At 40.1% G+C, this 19,940-nt stretch overlaps 1 long non-coding RNA gene across 8 annotated transcripts in view; it reads left to right on the forward strand.

Annotated features, from left to right (window-relative positions):
• LINC02235 (long intergenic non-protein coding RNA 2235) overlaps nucleotides 1–19,382 on the forward strand; it is an 81,042-nt gene extending 61,660 nt beyond the window's left edge. For 5 of the 8 annotated variants that reach the window (NR_170318.1, NR_170315.1, NR_170316.1 and 2 more), the window contains one exon: nucleotides 18,514–19,382. This is a non-coding gene — a long non-coding RNA (long intergenic non-protein coding RNA 2235). Of the gene's footprint in view, nucleotides 1–2,757; nucleotides 2,842–3,176; nucleotides 3,709–18,513 lie in introns of all 8 variants that reach the window. The other 3 variants (NR_170314.1, NR_170313.1, NR_170319.1) reach the window with 2 other exon arrangements.
• Nucleotides 19,383–19,940: the final 558 nt, after the last annotated feature.

A 19,940-nucleotide genomic window follows, 5' to 3' on the forward strand; every position in this document is an offset into this window, starting at 1 on the left:
GTGGGAGGTGATTGAATCATAAGGGTAGATCCTTCATGAATAGTTTAGCACCATCCTTTCGTTGCTGTTCTCTTGATAGATTCTCATGAGATCTGGTTGTTTTAAAGTGTATAGCACCTTCCCCCACTTTCTCTTCCTCCTGCTCTGGCCATGTGAAGACATGCCTGCTTCCTTTTGCTTTACATCATGATTGTAAGTTTCCTGAGGCCCCTTCAGCTCTGCTTCTTGTACAGCCTTGGAACTGAGAGGTGAAGCTGGCTGGGTTTCTGGGTCGGGTGGGGACTTGGAGAACTTTTCTGTCTAGCTGAAGGATTGTAAATGCACCAACCAGCGCTCTTTTTTCTAGCTAAAGATTTGTAAATGCACCAATCAGCACTCTGTCAAAATGGACCAACCAACACTCTGTAAAATGGACTAATCAGCTCTCTGTAAAATGGACCAATCAGCTGGATGTGGGTGGGCCAAATAAGGGAATAAAAGTAGGCCATCCAAGCCAGCAGCAGCAACCTGCTCGGGTCCCCTTCCACAGTGTGGAGGCTCTATTCTTTTGCTCTTCACAATAAATCTTGCTGCTGCTCACCCTTTGGGTCTGCACTGTGTTTATGAGCTGTAACACTCACCGCAAAGGTCTGCAGCTTCACTCCTGAAGCCAGTGAGACTGCAAACCCACCAGGAAGAATGAACAACTCTGGACAGGCCACCTTTAAGAGCTGTAACGCTCACTGTGAAGGTCTGCAGCTTCACTCCTGAAGTCAGCAAGACCACGAACCCACCAGAAGGAAGAAACTCCAGACATATCTGAACATCTGAAGGAACAAGTTCTGGACACACCATCTTTAAGAACTGTAACACTCACTGCAAGCGTCCGCGGCTTCATTCTTGAAGTCAGCGAGACCAAGAACCCACCAATTCCAGACACAGAACCATGAGCCCATTAAACCTCTTTTATTTATAAATTACCCAGTCTCAGGTATTTCTTTATAGTAGTGTAAGAACAGACTAATAAAAGAGTATGCTCAGAATTAAACCTGTGGCTAGGCTTGTCATATTAGCAAATAATAATACAGGACTGCCAGTTAAATTTAAATTTTTGGTAAACAATGAGTAATTTTTAATATAAAATACACCATTTGGGACCCAATTATCTGAAATTCAAATTTAACTGAGTGTCCTGTATTTTATGTGACTACTATATCTGTGGAGGAAGGGAAGGAAGTTGACAGTGTCTTTAGCCTCAGCTGGCCCTTTAAGGAACTCTGAAGTTAGGCTGCATCTTCAATTTTGTTACTAACTGGGGCAAGGAGGCTGAATTCTATATCCTAGAATTGACCAGTCATTGGGTGCAGACTGTAGCCAAGAGAGAATCATTACCTTGGGGAAGGCAGCTCTTTTCAGCTGAGATTAATTTGCTGAGAAAGCTGGCAGCTGAGGGCTGTCGGTCAACAGCACTCCCAGAAGCCAGGGGAATACAGTCCTGAAGGGAGTACCTGGCGGGGTACATCAGAGTGTCTATTTTAATCATCATCATTATCATCAACATCCTCATTATTTATCTCTTCTCATGTAAATGCTCTTAATGTTATGTGAAAAACCACTTTGGTAACAGTTCCCAACCAGGGTCTTTCTCACTGCTAAAGGTTGTGGATGAAGGTCATCTCCCCGAATAAGGCCTTGATGCTAGTTTCTAAGACCCTTGCTCTCCCTCCCTAAACTCTATGGCATACCATCCTCAGATCAGTGTCCTGCCATTGCTCTGGAGACCACGCAGGAACTCTTGCTCAGAACCAGCCTTCTTTGCAGCCTTGGATACTTTTTCCTATATGTTCTTTCTTCTGATACTAATGGGGGTCAAGACTTTGGATTAAGGCTGAACAATCCCTCTATGTTCTTGATTTTATTTTGGCTTCTCTCTTCTGGGACCTTAATCCATTTACTTTTCCCTCTTTCCTGCACTTTCAAGTTCTCTTCGGCTTACTAGAATTCAAGTCACCTATACTAAAAGGCACATACTCTTGACCTATATCTTTTTTTAGCTTCAATTTAGTCAATCCTCTTGCATCTTTAGTCCTTTAAAAGTAATCTGTGCTTGCTATTTATTCTCTTTCATTTTCTCTACCTGCTGCCATTTGGCTTACAGCAATCCTCATGTACTAAAGGGGTAAAAGGCTACTAGTTTCCTCTTAATTGCCTAAGCCAGTGACCATTCTTTCAGCCTTTATTTTCCTGGAATTTCTTATTGTATTTGAAGTCATAGTTTAACCCCTCCTTTTGAGAGTCTTTACTACCTTGATTCTACAATTCTACAATCTCCTGGCTCCCTTCATTTCTCAGGACTTACTCCTCTCACTTCATCTTATGCTTTTGTGCCTTAAATGTTAGTGTTGTTTTATCTCAGCTCTCTTATGATTCTATATATTCTTCCTGAATAATACTATTTCCTATATAGTTTCAACTAATATTTATATGCTGCTTACTCTTGATTTTATCTCTCCACCCAAGATCTTTCCCAAAATATACAGACTTGAAACTCAAGTTTGTATATTCAACTCTTCATAAGTTATTTCTGTTTGGGTGTTCCAAAGATGCCTTGAGGGCAATATGGACAAAACTGAAATGGCCACAATACTAGATCTTCTTCTGTATATAAATTTTTAACACTCAGACACCCAAACTTGAATTCTTAGAGCTATCTCTGGCTCCTTTTTTCTCTTCATTTTTTATATTCAATAAGTCATCTAGAGTTCATGTCCTTTGCAGGGACATGGATGAAGCTGGAAACCATCATTCTCAGCAAACTATGATAAGGACACACAACCAAACACCGCATGTTCTCACTCATAGGTGAGAATTGAACAATGAGATCACTTGGACACAGGGCAGGGAACTTCACACAGCGGGGCCTGTCGGGGGTAGGGGGCTGGGGGAGGGATAGCATTAGGAGAAATATCTAATGTAAATGACGAGTTGATGGGTGCAGCAAACCAACATGGCACATGTATACCTTATATCAAACCTGCACGTTGTGCACATGTACCCTAGAACTTAAAGTATAATAATTTTAAATATATATATATATATATGAATTAGTCATCTAGTCCTCATAATTTTACCTTCTAAATAATTGTGGAACTTCTCTCTTTCACCAGTCTAATCTTTCTCACATTTTTCTTCCATAGAACTGCTACAGTGATCTGAAATAAAAATATAACAATGGCAGTCTTTTGACTAAAATCCCTTATTGGCTCCCCATCAAGTATAATTTAAAGTCAAAGATGAAACTTTCACTCTGGAACTAGACTTACCATCCTTCCACAAACAACTAGAAAACTGGACTACATATGAAGCAGCAATTTTCAGATATTGATCAAGCAGTTGGCACAGTTCTGAAAGAAGGAAAACAAATAAGATAAGCCTACAGTCAGATAAGTCCCAGCTTTCTGCTTTCAGGCACTTTCTGGACTACAGTGCAGGGTTGGTTATCTCCATCAGAGCACAGTGGTATCATTGAATTAAGCAGACAGAGTCTAGTGTACAGGAAGACTGATGCATCTGGAATTTGTGAACAGAATAACAAAGAGGTTAAAGTTGCATGCAGAAAGAATGTCAAAAAATCTGTATAGGAATCCCGTAGAGTTTGTTGCTAAATACTAAGCTGTGCCTATGTAAAAGAAACTCCCTGAGGCCAGGCAAAAAAACTGCTGGAAAGCTGTAAGTTGAAAAGTTTCTAGAATTCGTACAGGGCCGGGAGACATTTGAGTTTTGGTCAGCTAGAATCAAGAGTCTTTTTGAACACCTGGCCTTTAGGGGAGATGTCAAAGGGGTTATACCTTAGTCATGTGCCTAAATTGTCTTTTTCAACTGAGGTTTTATGAAACATAATATGAATAAGTATTTTCTTAATTCTTTCAAGCTTGGTATAATACCATTCTAAATACATTAGAGAGAAATTAATTCATTATCTACAGCATTGCCTTAGACATTAGGGTTTAATTATCTTGTGGAACACCCATTGAGAGGGAGTATTTTAATACCCTCTCTTCAAAGCTTAAAAACAAGCTTCAAAAGGATCAACTAAATATACTGCCTATCAGACCAAAATCTAGACCCCAGCAATGTAAAATACACACTATCCATCACCTAATCAAAAATTACTAGACCCTAATATTCAGAATTTACAAAGAACTTAAATATATTTACAATAAAAAAAAACCCATCAAAAAGTGGGCAGAGGATATGAACAGACACTTCTCAAAGGAAGACATTTATATGGCCAAAAAACATATGAAAAAAAGCCCAACATCACTGATCATCAGAGAAATGCAAATCAAAACCATGCCAGTTAGAATGGTGATTATTAAAAAGTCAGGAAACAATAGATGCTGGCAAGGCTGTGGATAAATAGTAATGCTTTTAAACTGTTGGTGGGAATGTAAATTAGTTCAACCATCGTAGAAGATAGTATAGTGATTCGTCAAGGATCTAGAACCAGAAATACCATTTGACCCAGCAATCCCATTATTGGGTATATACCCAAAGGAATATAAATCATTCTACTATAAAGACACATGCATACGTATGTTTATTGCAGCACTATTTACAATAGCAAAGACATGGATCCAACCCAAATGCCCATCAATGATAGACTGAATAAACAAAATGTGGCACAAATATACCATGGAATACTGTGCAGCCACAAAAAGGAATGAGATCATGTCCTTTGCAGGGACATGGATGAAATTCAACAAAATTATGTTTTAGGGTAAAGATTTTGTTGTCCATAAGCCATTCTCTTGGAAGGAATTTATGAAGGAAGCCATCTAGAGAGATATGTGGCTTCCTATCTTTGTAGTTATCTGTTTAGAAACAAAAAGGAAGGTAGATTTTGTGTGACTCTGTTCCCAAGCTGAACTTCCCTTTGATATAGTGAGTTTGGTGTCCCAAAATTTTATTTTCCTTTCACAGTCTCAGTGAACTTTTGGGACAATATCAAGTAGTCTATCAAATGTGTATTTTCAGTCCCAGAGAAGGGAAAAGCAGAATAAAAATTATTTAAAGTCCAAGACAATTTACATCTCTCACTATGCATTTAATGATCTAGCTTTTGCCTGTCTTTCAAGTTTCAAATCTAAACCATTTCCTGACATTCCGTTTTCTCTTCAGTTCACTACATGACTCAGTTTATCGCACATACCATGCTATTTCTTATCTCTATATCTCTGTTCATTCTACAGTCTGTGCCTAGAATGCTTCTAACTCTCATCCTATGCAACCTAATTCCTACTTTTAAGTTCCAACCCATGTGTCATCTCCAAGGAACCTTTCTTTATACTTTCCATTCATTTTCCACCCAACAAGAGATAGTTGTACTCTTTGGTGCTTCCAGAAATACTTTTGCATATCTCTAGTGCTGCATTAAGCCATTATATTGCTGAGATCTGTTTTTCAGTCTTTTTTGTTTAATGCTAGAAGGACTATGTGTAATACATGTTTGTATCTCCAGCACTTAGTAGAAGGATTGGCATAAGATTATTTAAAGAATAAATAAGTAATGACTTCATTGATCTGGCTCTGGGTCTAAGGTTGATACACATACCATTAACAATAATAAAATACCATTAACAATAATAAAAATCAAATTTCCCTTAAATCTCATTCATTATGGCTTATATATTTGAAAATAAAAATATATTATAAATAATGAGTCTACATTTAAAATCTGAATATTATATTTTGGTAACTTATTTGTCATATGTATGTATATGGTAGAAATACATGTATTTTTCACTGCACAAAGCTTCAGTAAATAAGTCCAGGAATCCAGATGAGGAATTATGGAATCTATAATTCAAACACTTTCAAATTTTAATATGTCCAAAGAACCTTTGGGAGACTAATTAAAATGTAGTTTACCTTGCCTGATATCCAGAAATTCTGATTCAGTAAATCTAGACAACAGCTTAGAAATTTGCATTAAATAGTAACTACTCAGGAGATTCTGTTGTAAACGATATATAATGTCTGGTAGATACAAATATTTATGATCTATTGATAAAAAATTGATTCTTTAAGTTGTAGTTAGAGAAATGTCATTTAACAGTATATCCTACATTTTCACTTTACTAGATAAGAAAAAATTGAGGTTTAAAAGACCAACATTTACAAAAACTCTCTTCTGAAATAACATACGTTAACTACATTAATTTTAAAGTTCTGAATACATTTCACACTTCAGCAGTTAATGGAGACTGGTATGAACGTTTTCATAGACACAGGAAGAAAAAGCAAGCAGAATAATTCTCTTTATTATATTTTAAAATTTGTTTTCTAAAGAAGAAAACATTGTCTTTAAAATTTTTGTTTGATTTGGAGCACTAGATTCCTGGAGGAACAAATTGTCATTGAAGGCTCATGAATAAAAGGCTGAAGGGAGACTGCTGTAATCTATGTGCTCAGCAGTCGCTACAGTTAAGAGCAAGATTTCCCACCTGATTGCTCCATTCTAAATATTGTATTAACTCAGTTACTTAAGGGTATTTTAGAAAACAAGTTAATGGGCAATCTTGTCATATTATATTATATGCAGCAATCATGCTGCGTTGAATGGCCATATAAAAGAGAAACTTTAGAAAAATTGAGCCAAATTAGAGAATAAGAGAGTTAAAGAGTTGTTTTTACACACAAAGTTACAAGCCATGAAATGTCTTATAGAATATTACATTTGGCCTATGTAATTTTGGCAAACAATTTACTGATGGAATCTCAAAAGTGTATTATTTTGGATAAAAATTTGAATTTAATTCATTCTTTTTGATTATACTAAGTTTCTCACATCATAGTTTACATTGCATATTCACGAGTTCTCTGAGAAAGCCACTTATCTACTTTTCCACCAATCCATCTATTTATAAATTTAATATTTAAATGTATTCATGTTAGAAATGCAAAATGCTTGTTTCTTGGTGCTGCAAAGAAATAGCACTCGAACATAAATTTAATTCTCTCAGCAAGGCAATTTTTACTTCTATAGAAGGGTGCGACTTGTGAATGGAGTAATGGCAAGAGCATACCTGGACAGGGGAGGGGAAAGAGTTCTTATTCCTGATGCAGGTAGCCCCTACTGCTGTGTTGTTCCCCTATTGGCTACGGTTGGATGGCACAGTCTAAGCTAATTCTGATTGGCTATTTTAAAGAGGTCAGGGGTATGAGCCAGAGTGGTGGGGTGAGTAGTTTGGTGGGAAGGACGTTTAGGAACAGGTAACTAGAGGTGACTTAGGTCAGAGCAGGTGACCAGGAGTGACTTAGGTCAAAGCAGCTGATCAGGATGAGTCAGGATGGAGCAGGTGACCAGGGAACAGATGTGAACTACTAATTAGGACTGGTGGGAAAGTTGTTTACTGAAATTAGAAGCAAGGGAGCGAACAGAACCAGGAAGTTAAACTTTAAAATGGAGAATAAAAGAATAACAGAGCTGAACATATGAAGAGTAACTTGGGGTTCATTATATTTAACATTCACAAAACTTGGAAATGAAATTCTCCAAGAAGATGGTATTTCAATTCTAAAGGGTCCTAAAACCCATATCTCAATATAGACCAGGTGTGGTAGAATCTTGAGTCATTTTCAGTCAGGTCGATTCTACTCTCTATTCCTCAAAAGGCCAGATAATTCCTTTCTTGGATCAGACTACTGAGGGTCTCATTGGATATCTGATTCATGGGTCAGCAGATATGGAATATGTAATTGCCACCATAAAAATTATAGAAAAGAGGAAAACAAATGTCAATTTGAACATAAAAATGAATATTAATGGCCCATTGAAACCAATATAATATTGAACCACATGATTCCATCACCCCCATTTTCCATGCAAATCTCTATGTCAATCTTTTTTGATTCATGTAGGTTTTCATATTCCTTTTCTTTTTTTAATACTTTATTCATTATGGGAATTGATTTAAATTTATTTTTATTAAAATATGCTTAATAAAAATTTAAATCACTTATAAGTAAACTCTTTTTTAAACTTTTAATTTTTAGTTTTAGATTCAAGGAGTACATATTTATGATTGTTACATGGGTACATTGCCTACTAGTGGGGACTGGCCTTCTAGTGTACCCATTACTCAAATAGTGGGCATTGTAACCCGCAGGTAAGTTTTCAATCCTCACCCTTACTCCCACCCTCCTTCCTTTTGGAGTCCCCGGTGTCTATTATTTCCACGTTTATGTCCATGACTTACAAGTAAACTCTTAAAATATGTTCACCCTGAAGGAAAGTAGAGTATCTCACCCCAAAATATACTTTTTTGGCATATTTTGAGATGGATATTCAGAGGGGCTACAGACAAAGGAATAGTTCTGAAGAGTTGTCCTTTTGTGGAGGAGATTTACATCTGTAGAGGAAATCTACATTAGCGAAGTAAACAGTAGATGCGAACAGGATTTCTCTGAGACCTTATCTACATTATCTTGATCTAGGAAAGATTAACTTAGGAAAAAGAGACACTTTTGAAGTTCTAACAGAGAAACTTTCACTATAGGCTATTATCTAATCTGAGAGCTGCTACCTGAGAGATTTCATTTGCATAACAAGATACTTTTTGCTTGATATGCAATTCCTCCCCTCTCCCTCCCATAACTGATCTCCATGTTCCAAGCCTCTATTCCTTTCCATATGGTATTAAAACTTCAGTACTCTCAAAGAAATGTGAGATTTCTTTGAGTCTCATACTTTTGTGTGTGGTCCCCATGCCTATGCATACAATGAGTTTTGTTTTTCTCCTGATAATCTATTGTGCCAACCTAAAATAATCAAAAGAGTCAGAATCTAATTTAAAGAGAGTTTATTCAAGTGCAGAATTTAAGGATAGCCTTCTTGGAAATACCAACTTCTAAGGGATGGAATTAGAATTCAGAAGTAGGAAAGTTTAGGTTTCATTTAGATAGGCAGAGGGAGATGAGTTTTAGCAGGATTACAACATTTTACATACAAGGCTAGAGCATAATTACAGCAATGTGATTGGTTACAGATGGTTTTTCTTTTGGGGAAGGGTATATTTAACACTTTTTACGGAAGGCATAATAGTCATGGGTTTTCTGTCATCTGGTCTAAGCAAAGCAGGACAACAAATGAGAAATTAATCTGTAACAAGGGTCACTAAAAGGCAGAGGTTTGTGTCCCTGATATCATTTAATTCTGTCTAGTCACTGTGAAGAAAAAGATAAATAAGAAAGTGAGTTAATTTATAATCTGAGAAATAGAAGTTGTAACCATATGTGACTCAGATCACAGTCACATCTTTCTTAAGGCTTAAAGTGTTTTGGGGGTTCCAACAGCTTTTAAATTGTGTTTATTTTCAAAATTGTCAAATAATTTCAGCAGACTTAGACTCAAATTTTCAGAGGCAAAGTTTCAACTTCCCTAAAACCCTTAGTTTTGCCTTTCCCATGCACTGGTTAATTGTGGTTTATGCCTAACTACCTCCTGTATCAATCTTGAGTTTTAGAGAATGTTTCCAGAAGGGATTAAGGCACCTTTGAATTCTATTTAGTACTGGTCCAACAGATCGTTAATTACCCTTTCCTTATTTTTCTTTGTAGGACCAATAATCATCCTTTTCTTTTGATGCCTGGTTTATATATTTGAGCTCAGCTCTAGTAAAATCTACCTGCCACTCTTACTCTTTTATGCATAAATCTTTGTTTTGAGCTGTGTAGCAGCTTGCTTAAACATGGTGGCTTTGGAATCAGACTGCCTTGGTTTAAATCCCTATCCTATCACTTGCTAGGTATGAACAATTTAGATATCCTTTCTAAGTATTGGTTTAAAAATCTATAAAATGAGGATTCTTTGAGGTTTAATTGAGATAGTAGAGGCAAAATACCTGGCACATAATAAATATTCAATACATGTAATTCATAGTTGATATCATTGCTATTATTATGGTAGGTAACTAGTCATAAATAAGCAGGGCAAGAGAGGCTCCCCATCCCACCAGAAATGTCAGGCAACCATCAGGTGATGGTCAGGTAGTTGTTAAACTGCCTCTCTAAAATAATAATTGGTCACAGCCAGTGCCAGGGAAAGGCAGTCTCCCAATAAACAGAAAAACCTGAAACTGATGATCAGCAGTGCCAGGCCTCTGAGCCCAAGCCTCCACGTATACATCCAGATGGCCTGAAGAAAGTGAAGAATCACAAAAGACATGAAAATGGCTGGTTCCTGCCTTAACTGATGACATTACCTTGTGAAATTCCTTCTCTCCTTGTCTCTACCCTCTCTTTTCTCTCCACTTTCCTGGGGGGCAAGCACCCCCCACCACTTCTCTCCATGTCTCTACCCTTTCTTTTCTCTGGGCTTGCCTCCTTCACTATGGGCAAACTTCCACCCTCCATTCCTCCCTCTTCTCCCTTAGCCTGTGTTCTCAAAACTTAAAACCTCTTCAACTCACACCTGACCTAAACCTAAATGCCTTATTTTCTTCTGAAATGCCTCTTGACCCCAATACAAACCCAACAATAGTTCCAAATAGCCAGAAAATGGCACTTTTGATTTTTCCATCCTACAAGATCTAGATAATTCTTGTTGTAAAATGGGCAAATGGTCTGAGGTGTCTGACGTCCAGGCATTCTTTTACACATCGGTCCCTCCCTAGTCTCTGTTCCCAATGCGTTTCGTCCCAAATCCTCCTTCTTTCCCTCCTGCCTGTGCCCTCAGTCCCAACCCCAAGCATTGCTGAGTCTTTTCAATCTTCCTTTTCTACCGATCCATCTGACCTCTCCCCTCATCCCCAGACTGCTCCTCAGGTCACTCCCCACCAGGCTGAATCAGACTCCAATTCTTCCTCAGATTCTGCTCCTCCACCCTGTAATCCTTCTATCACCTCCTCTCCCCACACCCAGTCTGGCTTACAGTTTTGTTCCACAACTAGCCCTCCCCCACCTGCCCAACAATTTCCTCTTAAAGAGGTGGCTAGAGCTGAAGGCATAGCCAAGGTTAATGCTCCATTTTCTTTATTTGACCTCTCCCAAATCAGTTAGTGTTTAGGCTCTTTTTCATCAAATATGAAAAACCCAGCCTGGTTCATGGCCCGTTTGGCAGCAATCCTGAGATGCTTTACAGCCCTAGACCCAGAAGGGCCAGAAGTCCATCTTATTCTCAATATGCATTTTGTTACCCAGTCAGCTCCTGACATAAAAAAAAAAAAGCTCCAAAAATTAGATTCCAGCCCTCAAACCCCACCACAGGACTTAATTAACCTTGCCTTCAAGGTGTACAATAATAGAGACAGCCAAGTAGCAATGTATTTCTGAGTTGCAATTCCTTGCTTCCACTGTGAGAGAAACTCCAGCCACATCTCCAGCACACAAGAACTTCAAAACGCCTAAGCCACAGTGGTCAGGGCTTCCTTCAGGACCTCCTCCCCCTGGATCTTAATTCAAGTGCCAGAAATCTGGCCACTGGGCCAAGGAATGCCCCCAGCCCAGGATTCCTCCTAAGCCATGTCCCATCTGTGTGGGATCCCACTGGAAATCGGACTGTCCAACTCGCCTAGCAGCCTCTGGAACTCTGGCCCAAGGCTCTCTGACTGACTCCTTCCCAGATCTTCTCAGCTTAGCGGCTGAAGACTGATGCTGCCCAATTGCCTAGAAAGCCTCCTGGAACATCACAGACACTTTAGGTAACTCTTACAGTGGAGGGTAAGTCCATCCCCTGTTTAATCAATACGGAGGCTACCCACTCCACATTACCTTCTTTTCAAAGGCATGTTTCCCTTGCCCCCATAACTGTTGTAGGTATTGACAGTCAAGCTTCAAAACCCCTTAAAACTCCCCCACTCTTGTGCCAACTTGGACAATATTCTTTTATGCACTCTTTTTTAGTTATTCCCACCTGCCCAGTTCCCTTATTAGGCCGAGATATTTTAACCAAATTATCTGCTTCCATGAGTATTCCTGGACTACAGCCACATCTCATTGCCACCCTTCTTCCCAACCCAAAGCCTCCTTCACATCTTCCTCTCATATCCCCCCAGCTTAACCCACAAGTATAGGACACCTCTACTCCCTCCCTGGTAACCGATCACACATCCATTACTATCCCATTAAAACCTAATCACCCTTACCACACTCAACACCAATATCCCATCCCGCAGCACGCTTTAAAAGGATTAAAGCCTGTTATCACTCGCCTGTTACAGCATGGCCTTTTAAAGCCTATTAACTCTCCTTACAATTCCCCCATTTTACCTGTCCAAAAACTGGACAAGCCTTACAGGTTAGTTCAGGATCTGTGCCTTATCAACCAAATTGTCTTGCCTATCCACCCCGTGGTGCCAAACCCATATACTCTCCTATCCTCAATACCTCCCTCCACAACCCCTCCAAAACCCATTATTCTGCTCTGGGTCTCAAACATGCTTTCTTTACTGTTCCTTTGCACCCTTCATCCCAGCATCTCTCCGCTTTCACTTGGACTGACCCTGACACCCATCAGCCTCAGCAACTTACCTGGGCTGTACTGCTGCAAGGCTTCACCGACAGCCCCCATTACTTCAGTCAAGCCCAAATTTCTTCCTCATCCATTACCTATTTTGGCATAATTCTTCATAAAAACACACGTGCTCTCCCTGCCGATCATGTCCAACTGATCTCTCAACCCCCAACCCCTTCTACAAAATAACAACTCCTTTCCTTCCTGGGCATGCTTGGATACTTTCGCCTTTGGATATCTGGTTTTGCCATCCTAACAAAACCATTAAATAAACTCACAAAAGGAAACCTAGCTGACCCCATAGATCCTAAATCCTTTCCCCACTCCTCTTTCTATTCCTTGAAGACAGCTTTAGAGACCGCTCCCACACTAGCTCTCCCTGATTCATCCTTACCTTTTTTTTTCATTACACACACCTGAAGTGCAGGGTTGTGTGGTCAAAATTCTTACACAAGGACCGGGACCATGCCCTGTGGCCTTTTTATCCAAACAACTTGACCTTACTGTTTTAGCCTAGCCCTCATGTCTGCATGTGGTGGCTGCCACCACTCTAATACTTTTAGAGGCCCTAAAAATCACAAACTATGCTCAACTCACTCTCTACAGCTCTCATAACTTCCAAAATCTATTTTCTTCCTCATACCTGACGCATATACTTTCTGCTCCCTGGTTCCTTCAGTTATACTCACTCTTTGTTGAGTCTCCTACAATTGCCATTGTTCCTGGCCCAGACTTCAATCTGGCCTCCCACATTATTCCTGCTACCACACCTGACCCCCATGGCTGTATCTCTCTGATACACCTGGCATTTACTCCATTTCTCCATATTTCCTCCTTTCCTGTTCCTCACCCTGATCACACCTGGTTTACTGACGGCAGTTCCACCAGGCCTAATTGCCACACACTAGCAAAGGCAGGCTATGCTATAGTATCTTCCACATCTACCATTGAGGCTACCACTCTGCCCCCCTCCACTACCTCTCAGCAAGCCAAACTCATTGCCTTAACTGGAGCCCTCACTCTTGCAAAAGAATTACGCATCAATATTTATACTGACTCTAAATATTCCTTCCATATCCTGCACCACCATGCTGTTGTATGGGCAAAAAGAGGTTTCCTCACTACGCAAGGGTCCTCCGTCGTTAATGCCTCTTTAATAAAAACTTTTCTCAAGGCCACTTTACTTCCAAAGGAAGCTGGAGTCATTCACGGCGAGGGCCATCAAAAGGCATCAGATCCCATCACTCAGGGCAGTGCTTATGCTGATAAGGTAGCTAAAGAAGCAGCTTAGTGTTCCAACTTCTGTCCCTCATGGCCAGTTTTTCTCTTTCTCCTCTGGTCACTCCCACCTACTCCCCCACTGAAACTTCCACCTGTCAATCTCTTCCCACACAAGGCAAATGGTTCTTGGATGACGGAAAATATCTCCTTCTAGCCTCACAGGCCCATTCTATTTTGTCGTCATTTCATAACCTCTTCCTTGTAGGTTACAAGCCGCTAGCCCGCCTCTTAGAACCTCTCATTTCCTTTCCATCGTGGAAATCTATCCTCAAAAAAATCACTTCTCAGTGTTCCATCTGCTATTCTACTACTACTCAGGAATTTCTCAGGCCCCCTCCCTTCCCTACACATCAAGCTCAGGGATTTGCCCCTGCCCAGGACTGGCAAATTGACTTTACTCACATGCCCCAAGTCAGGAAACTAAAAAACCTCTTGGACTGGGTAGGCACTTTCACTGGATGGGTAGAGGCTTTTCCCACAGGGTCTGAAAAGGCCACCACCGTCATTTCTTCCCTTCTGTCAGACATAATTCCTCAATTTGCCCTTCCCACCTCTATACAGTCCAATAACAGACCGGCCTTTACTAGTCAAATCACCCAAGCAGTGTCTCAGGCTCTTGGTATTCAGTGGAACCTTCATACCCCTTACTGTCCTCAGTCTTCAGGAAAGGTAGAATGGACTAATGGTCTTTTAAAAACAACCTCACCGGCCGGGCACGGTGGCTCACGCCTGTAATCCCAGCACTTTGGGAGGCCGAGGCGGGCGGATCACGAGGTCAGGAGATCGAGACCATCCCGGCTAAAACGGTGAAACCCCATCTCTACTAAAAATACAAAAAATTAGCCGGGCGTAGTGGTGGGCGCCTATAGTCCCAGCTACTTGGGAGGCTGAGGCAGGAGAATGGCGTGAACCCGGGAGGCGGAGCTTGCAGTGAGCCGAGATCCCGCCACTGCACTCCAGCCTGGGCGACAGAGTGAGACTCCATCTCAAAAAAAAAAAAAAAAACAACCTCACCAAGCTCAGCCTCCAACTTAAAAAGGAGGACTCTGTCAAGGATAGAGCCCAAAAACTCACCAACCAAGCTGAAACCCCTTGGGCACTCTCTAATTGGATGTCCTGTGCCCTCCCAATTCTTAGTCCTTTAAATACCTGTTTTTCTCCTTCTCTTATTCGGACCTTGTGTCTTCCGTTTATTTTCTCAATTCATCCAAAACCATATCCAGGCCATCACCAATCACTCTATATAACAAATGTTTTTTCTAACAACCCCACAATATCACCCCTTACCACAAAATCTTCCTTCAGCTTAATCTCTCCCACTCTAGGTTCCCACGCCACCCCTAATCCCACTCGAAGCAGCCCTTAGAAACATCACCCATTTTCTCTCTATATCACCCGCAAAAATTTTCACCACCCCAACACTTCAACACTATTTTGTTTTACTTTTCTTATTAATATAAGAAGACACGAATGTCAGGCCTCTGAGCCCAAGCCTGCACGTATACATCCAGATGGCCTGAAGCAAGTGAAGAATCACAAAAGAAGTGAAAATGGCCAGTTCCTGCCTTAAGTGATGACATTACCTTGTGAAATTCTTTCTCCTGGCTCAGAAGCTCCCCAACTGAGCACCTTGTGACCCTAGCCCCTGCCCACCAGAGAACAACCCCCTTTGATTATAATTTTCCACTACCTACTCAAATCCTATAAAACGGCCCCACCCCTATCTCCCTTCACTGACTGTCTTTTCAGACTCAGCCCACCTGCATCCAGGTGAAATAAACAGCCTTGTTGCTCACACAAAGCCTGTTTGGTGGTCTCTTCACACAGACAGGCATGACAAGCAGTTTCCCCATAAGATCTCAGGAGCTGGGCAAGTGTGCTCCTGCATGTACACTGAGAGGCAAAAAGGTGGAGTTTAACTGGCATATGACCATCTAGGAACATTTGGACTGTTTAAGGGAAGAGCGCCTCTAGTAAGCATGCATACAACTCCATTAAACACACTGTGCATGCTGCCCCTTCCAAATGCCGATAAGTCTTTGCACATGTAGGCAGCCCACCCCAAAGGAAGAATCAGGGGACAAGGGACACAAGACCCTGGAAGCCTGCTAACATATAAAACCCTAAGTCAAAGGTCAAACAGTACACTCGATCTCTCGAGTAGTCTTCTTGGCCCTCTTCCAAATGTACTTTCCTTCCTGTCATTCTTGCTCCCAAAGTGCTGGGATTACAGGTGTGAGCCACTGCGCCCGGCTCTCTAAAGCTTTTTTTTTTTTTTTCAGACAGAGTTTTGCTTTTGTTGCCCAGGCTGGAGTGCAATGGCGCAATCGTGGCTCACTACAAACTCTGCCTCCCAGGTTCAAGCGACTCTTGCACCTTATTCTCCCAAGTAGCTGGGATTACAGGCACGCAGCACCATGCCTGGCTAATTTTGTATCTTTAGTAGAGACAGGGTTTCACCATGTTGGTCATGCTGGCCTCGAACACCCAGCCTCAGGTGATCCGCCTGCCTCAGCCTCCCAAAGTGCTGGGATTACAGGCGTGAGCCACTGTGCCCGACCTAAAGATTTTTAATAAACTTTCACTCTTGCTCTAAAAGTTGCCTTGGTCTCACCTTCTGCCTTATGCCCCTCAGTTGAATTCTTTCTTCTGAGGAGGGAAGAATTGAGGTTGCTGCAGGCCCATACAGATTTGTGGCCACTTCGGTGCTGTATGACTTGGATATATTCTCTCCTGCTAACATTAGCTCCTGTGCTTTCCAACGTTTCTGGGATTTCTGCTTTTTACTTTTTGTTGGATCTCTGCAACTCTGCCATACTGAGAGTGATTTAGAAGAAGTAACAAAACTGTTTGGATCACCATGTACTACCACTCTCTTAATATCATGTTTCAACTGACTATATAAGTCTCCTCCCACTGCCAGTTTCTAGGAATTTTAAGAATGGCTGGCTCCTGAAGACTGGAAACATGCCTACAGAGACTGCCTGGTCCATTTCTCAGTTATAGTACAAGTTGTATAAAAAATACTGGGTTCTATAATCCTTCAATCACTTACATAACAGAATTTACCTTTACATATAGTAATTGTCAATACATGCATTTCAGAGCAGAAAGGTTGTTTAGAACACACTACTCTAAGGTATTATTAGCTGCTAGGTGGCTATGTGAGAAGAGTAGATTTTACTTGAAGTGAAGTTGTAGATATGGAGTATAAGCCAAAAATATGCTTATTTCTTCAAGGCTTTGGTCAGAAATAGAGTATTCATAAGACACAGGTGAAAGTAAATGTGTAATGACAAAGACCTAGTGAGTCAAAGGATTTGTTCCCAGGTGAATCCAGTCTGCCTGGAGGAAGGTTGAAGCTGAGAAGATTGCAAGACAGTTGGGGTTTTCAGGATCTAAGCTCATCGAGTAATGCAAAATCGAAATGTAAACTTTTCAATTACATCTTTCTTATAAAGTTTGAGGTCTAAGATTTCTAAAGCTGTGTTAAAATAACCTGGACTTTTGAACCACATACAATAAGAAAGACTGCCAGTGGAGAGAAGGGCTTATGAACACTAAAATTGTATCTTTGAAGGAGAAATATTCTCTATTATTTTAACTGGTGACAGCTAAATTTTAATGGGAAGATTGTGGATGGCTCAGAAATTCTGTTGGAGATTGTGGTCAACATTTTACATTATTGATATTTCTCATTATTGGAATATAATTAAACATTCTTATGCTTTTAAGAATTTTATTGAAGTTCTTAATTTAGTGATAGCTTGTATCTTTTCAGCTGTGACTTAACATCATGACTGCTTAGCAGTATTTTGATTGTTTGCATTTCTTTTAGCTTAAAAGAGCATTGCCTGCAGAATACTTAGAAGTAAAATGATTCCTGTTGAATTAATCTTTATTTTATTGCTAATGAAATTATATATAGAATGAAATTTTATATGACATATAACCATGGTCTGCCTCTTAAAAATTGCTCTATTTGTGGTTTTATATGCTTTCTTTAGCTCACATCAATGGCAATATATTCAAGGCATTAATTTGTTGGTGAAGTTTACATGGCACTGTATATGAAATACTCATATTTTATTTAAAATTAATTTATCAGAGCAGAATGGGCATGCTAAAAACTCAACTAGTACAGAAAAGGTTATAATAAAAAGTTCTACTCTGCCTACTCACTTGGCAGAAGCAATCATTTTCAACTGTTATTATCATTTGTTGGTTGATTCCATACCTTTATACAATAAGCTATTTCTTGAAATATGGACTCTGTTGCCTCTATTATGAAAGATACATATTTAACTCATACTATTTAATCCCTTTCTGTCCTCCCAATTATTGAGATTAGTATTATTAATTATTCCATTAGCTCCCCTTGTAATTTTAAACATTGTATGTAAATTTATATGTATTATTTCATCATATTCAGACAGTAACTCTTGATTTTGAACTAATGTTAAAACATGGTTTTTTGCAACTTTATTATTCATTTTCAAATTTTGCCACTTATAATTTTACTTTCACATTATTAATGTTGATAATATTTATATTTGACTCTGCAGGTATAATTGGGTCTTCTGTTGTTAATTTATTACTTGGCTCAATGTAAATATTCCATGCTTTATTTATATCCATATCTACAGAAATATTCCATGAATTATCTACATTTAAATAAATATCTCAGTATTTGTTTATAGGTTGATTCTAAATAAATTTTATTATTTTAATGTTTTTAGCTTCAGATCCAAATGGTATGCTAGCATTCTCTTCCTAGCAGTCCACTGTCAAGACTTCACTGTTAGAAGAAGAATCACACCAGAATTAAGGTCAAATGGATTATCTTATTCTTAATTGCTGAAAATCACACCTCATTGAAATTTGCTTCATAACTGAACCATGAATTTTTCATCAAACATACTTTTGTGTTTCTCCTCCTGGCATTCTTTATGAGGAACTTCTTTTTGGAGCTCACTGACTTCCTGTTCTAATTTGGTCCAGTTATTTTCTAGAATTGCTACATGACTGTCATCCTGGGACATCCTTCTGTTGGAATCTGGGAGAGCTTACAACTTTTCATATCCTCTCTTCTTCTTTGTGTTTTTCACCCTGAAGTGTACAAAGTCAAATGAATTTCCTAGAAAAACTAGTGAGTTAATATTTTGAGTCCTTGTGATATGGGAGGGGGGCAGGGAAGTGCTGGGTAGAGAAGGGTGGGGTCCCTGGTGAGGGCTCCACTCTCAGGCCTGTGCTCATGGACCTAAATGAGGACAGGCATTTCTGTTTTCATGCCCCAAATGTTGCCTTTTGGCCCACCATGCGCCCCATCCTGTACCCATAAAAACCCAAGACTTGAGAAGGCACAGACACAAGTGGCGGGACGTCAAGAGAGCTGAAGAACACAGCAACAGACACCAGCAGACAACATCAGGCCATCGATGGCTGCATGATGTGGAATTTGGCTGGGGGCAGTTGGAGGAGAGTCTGGCTATTGGGCGACCTGACTCCAGGGGAAGACTACCTTCCCACTCCATCCCCCTTGGGGCTCCTCATGCATCTCACGAGAGCTACCTCCACCACTCAATAAAACCTTGCACGCATCCTCCAAGCCCACGTGTGATCCGACTTCTTGGGTACACTAGGGCAAGAACCCGGGATACAGAAAGCCCTCTGTCCGTGTGATAAGGCACAGGGTCTAGTGGAGCTGATTAACACAAGCCACCTGCAGAAGGCAAAGCTGAAAGAGCACACCACAACACATGCCCACTGGGGCTTCGGGAGCTGCAAACACTCAACCCTAGACACTGTCGTGGGGTCAGAGCCCCAAAACACTCCCCACGACCTGCTCATCTGCATGCTCCCCTCAGGAGTTTGAGCAGCAGGTCACCGAAGAAGCGAGCCACACCCGTTGCATGCCGTGTGAGGGGGATAAGGGAACTTCTCCCATTTCATCTGAATATCTGAAAGTATCTGTAGTTGGGACTCACGTTTTATTTATAATTTGTCTCGATATAGAAGTAAAGGTATAATTTCCTATAGAAATTTGAAACATTGTTCCCTTGTCACATCTTGCTGATAAAAAACCTTATGTCAGATGATTTTTGGTCTGATAATATAGAAATTTTGATTAACTTACTAAATAATTATATTTCAATATGATTCATTT

The sequence above is a fragment of the Homo sapiens genome, chromosome 8 (genome assembly GCF_000001405.40).
Source record: "Homo sapiens chromosome 8, GRCh38.p14 Primary Assembly".
NCBI classification, from domain to species: Eukaryota; Metazoa; Chordata; class Mammalia; order Primates; family Hominidae; genus Homo; species Homo sapiens.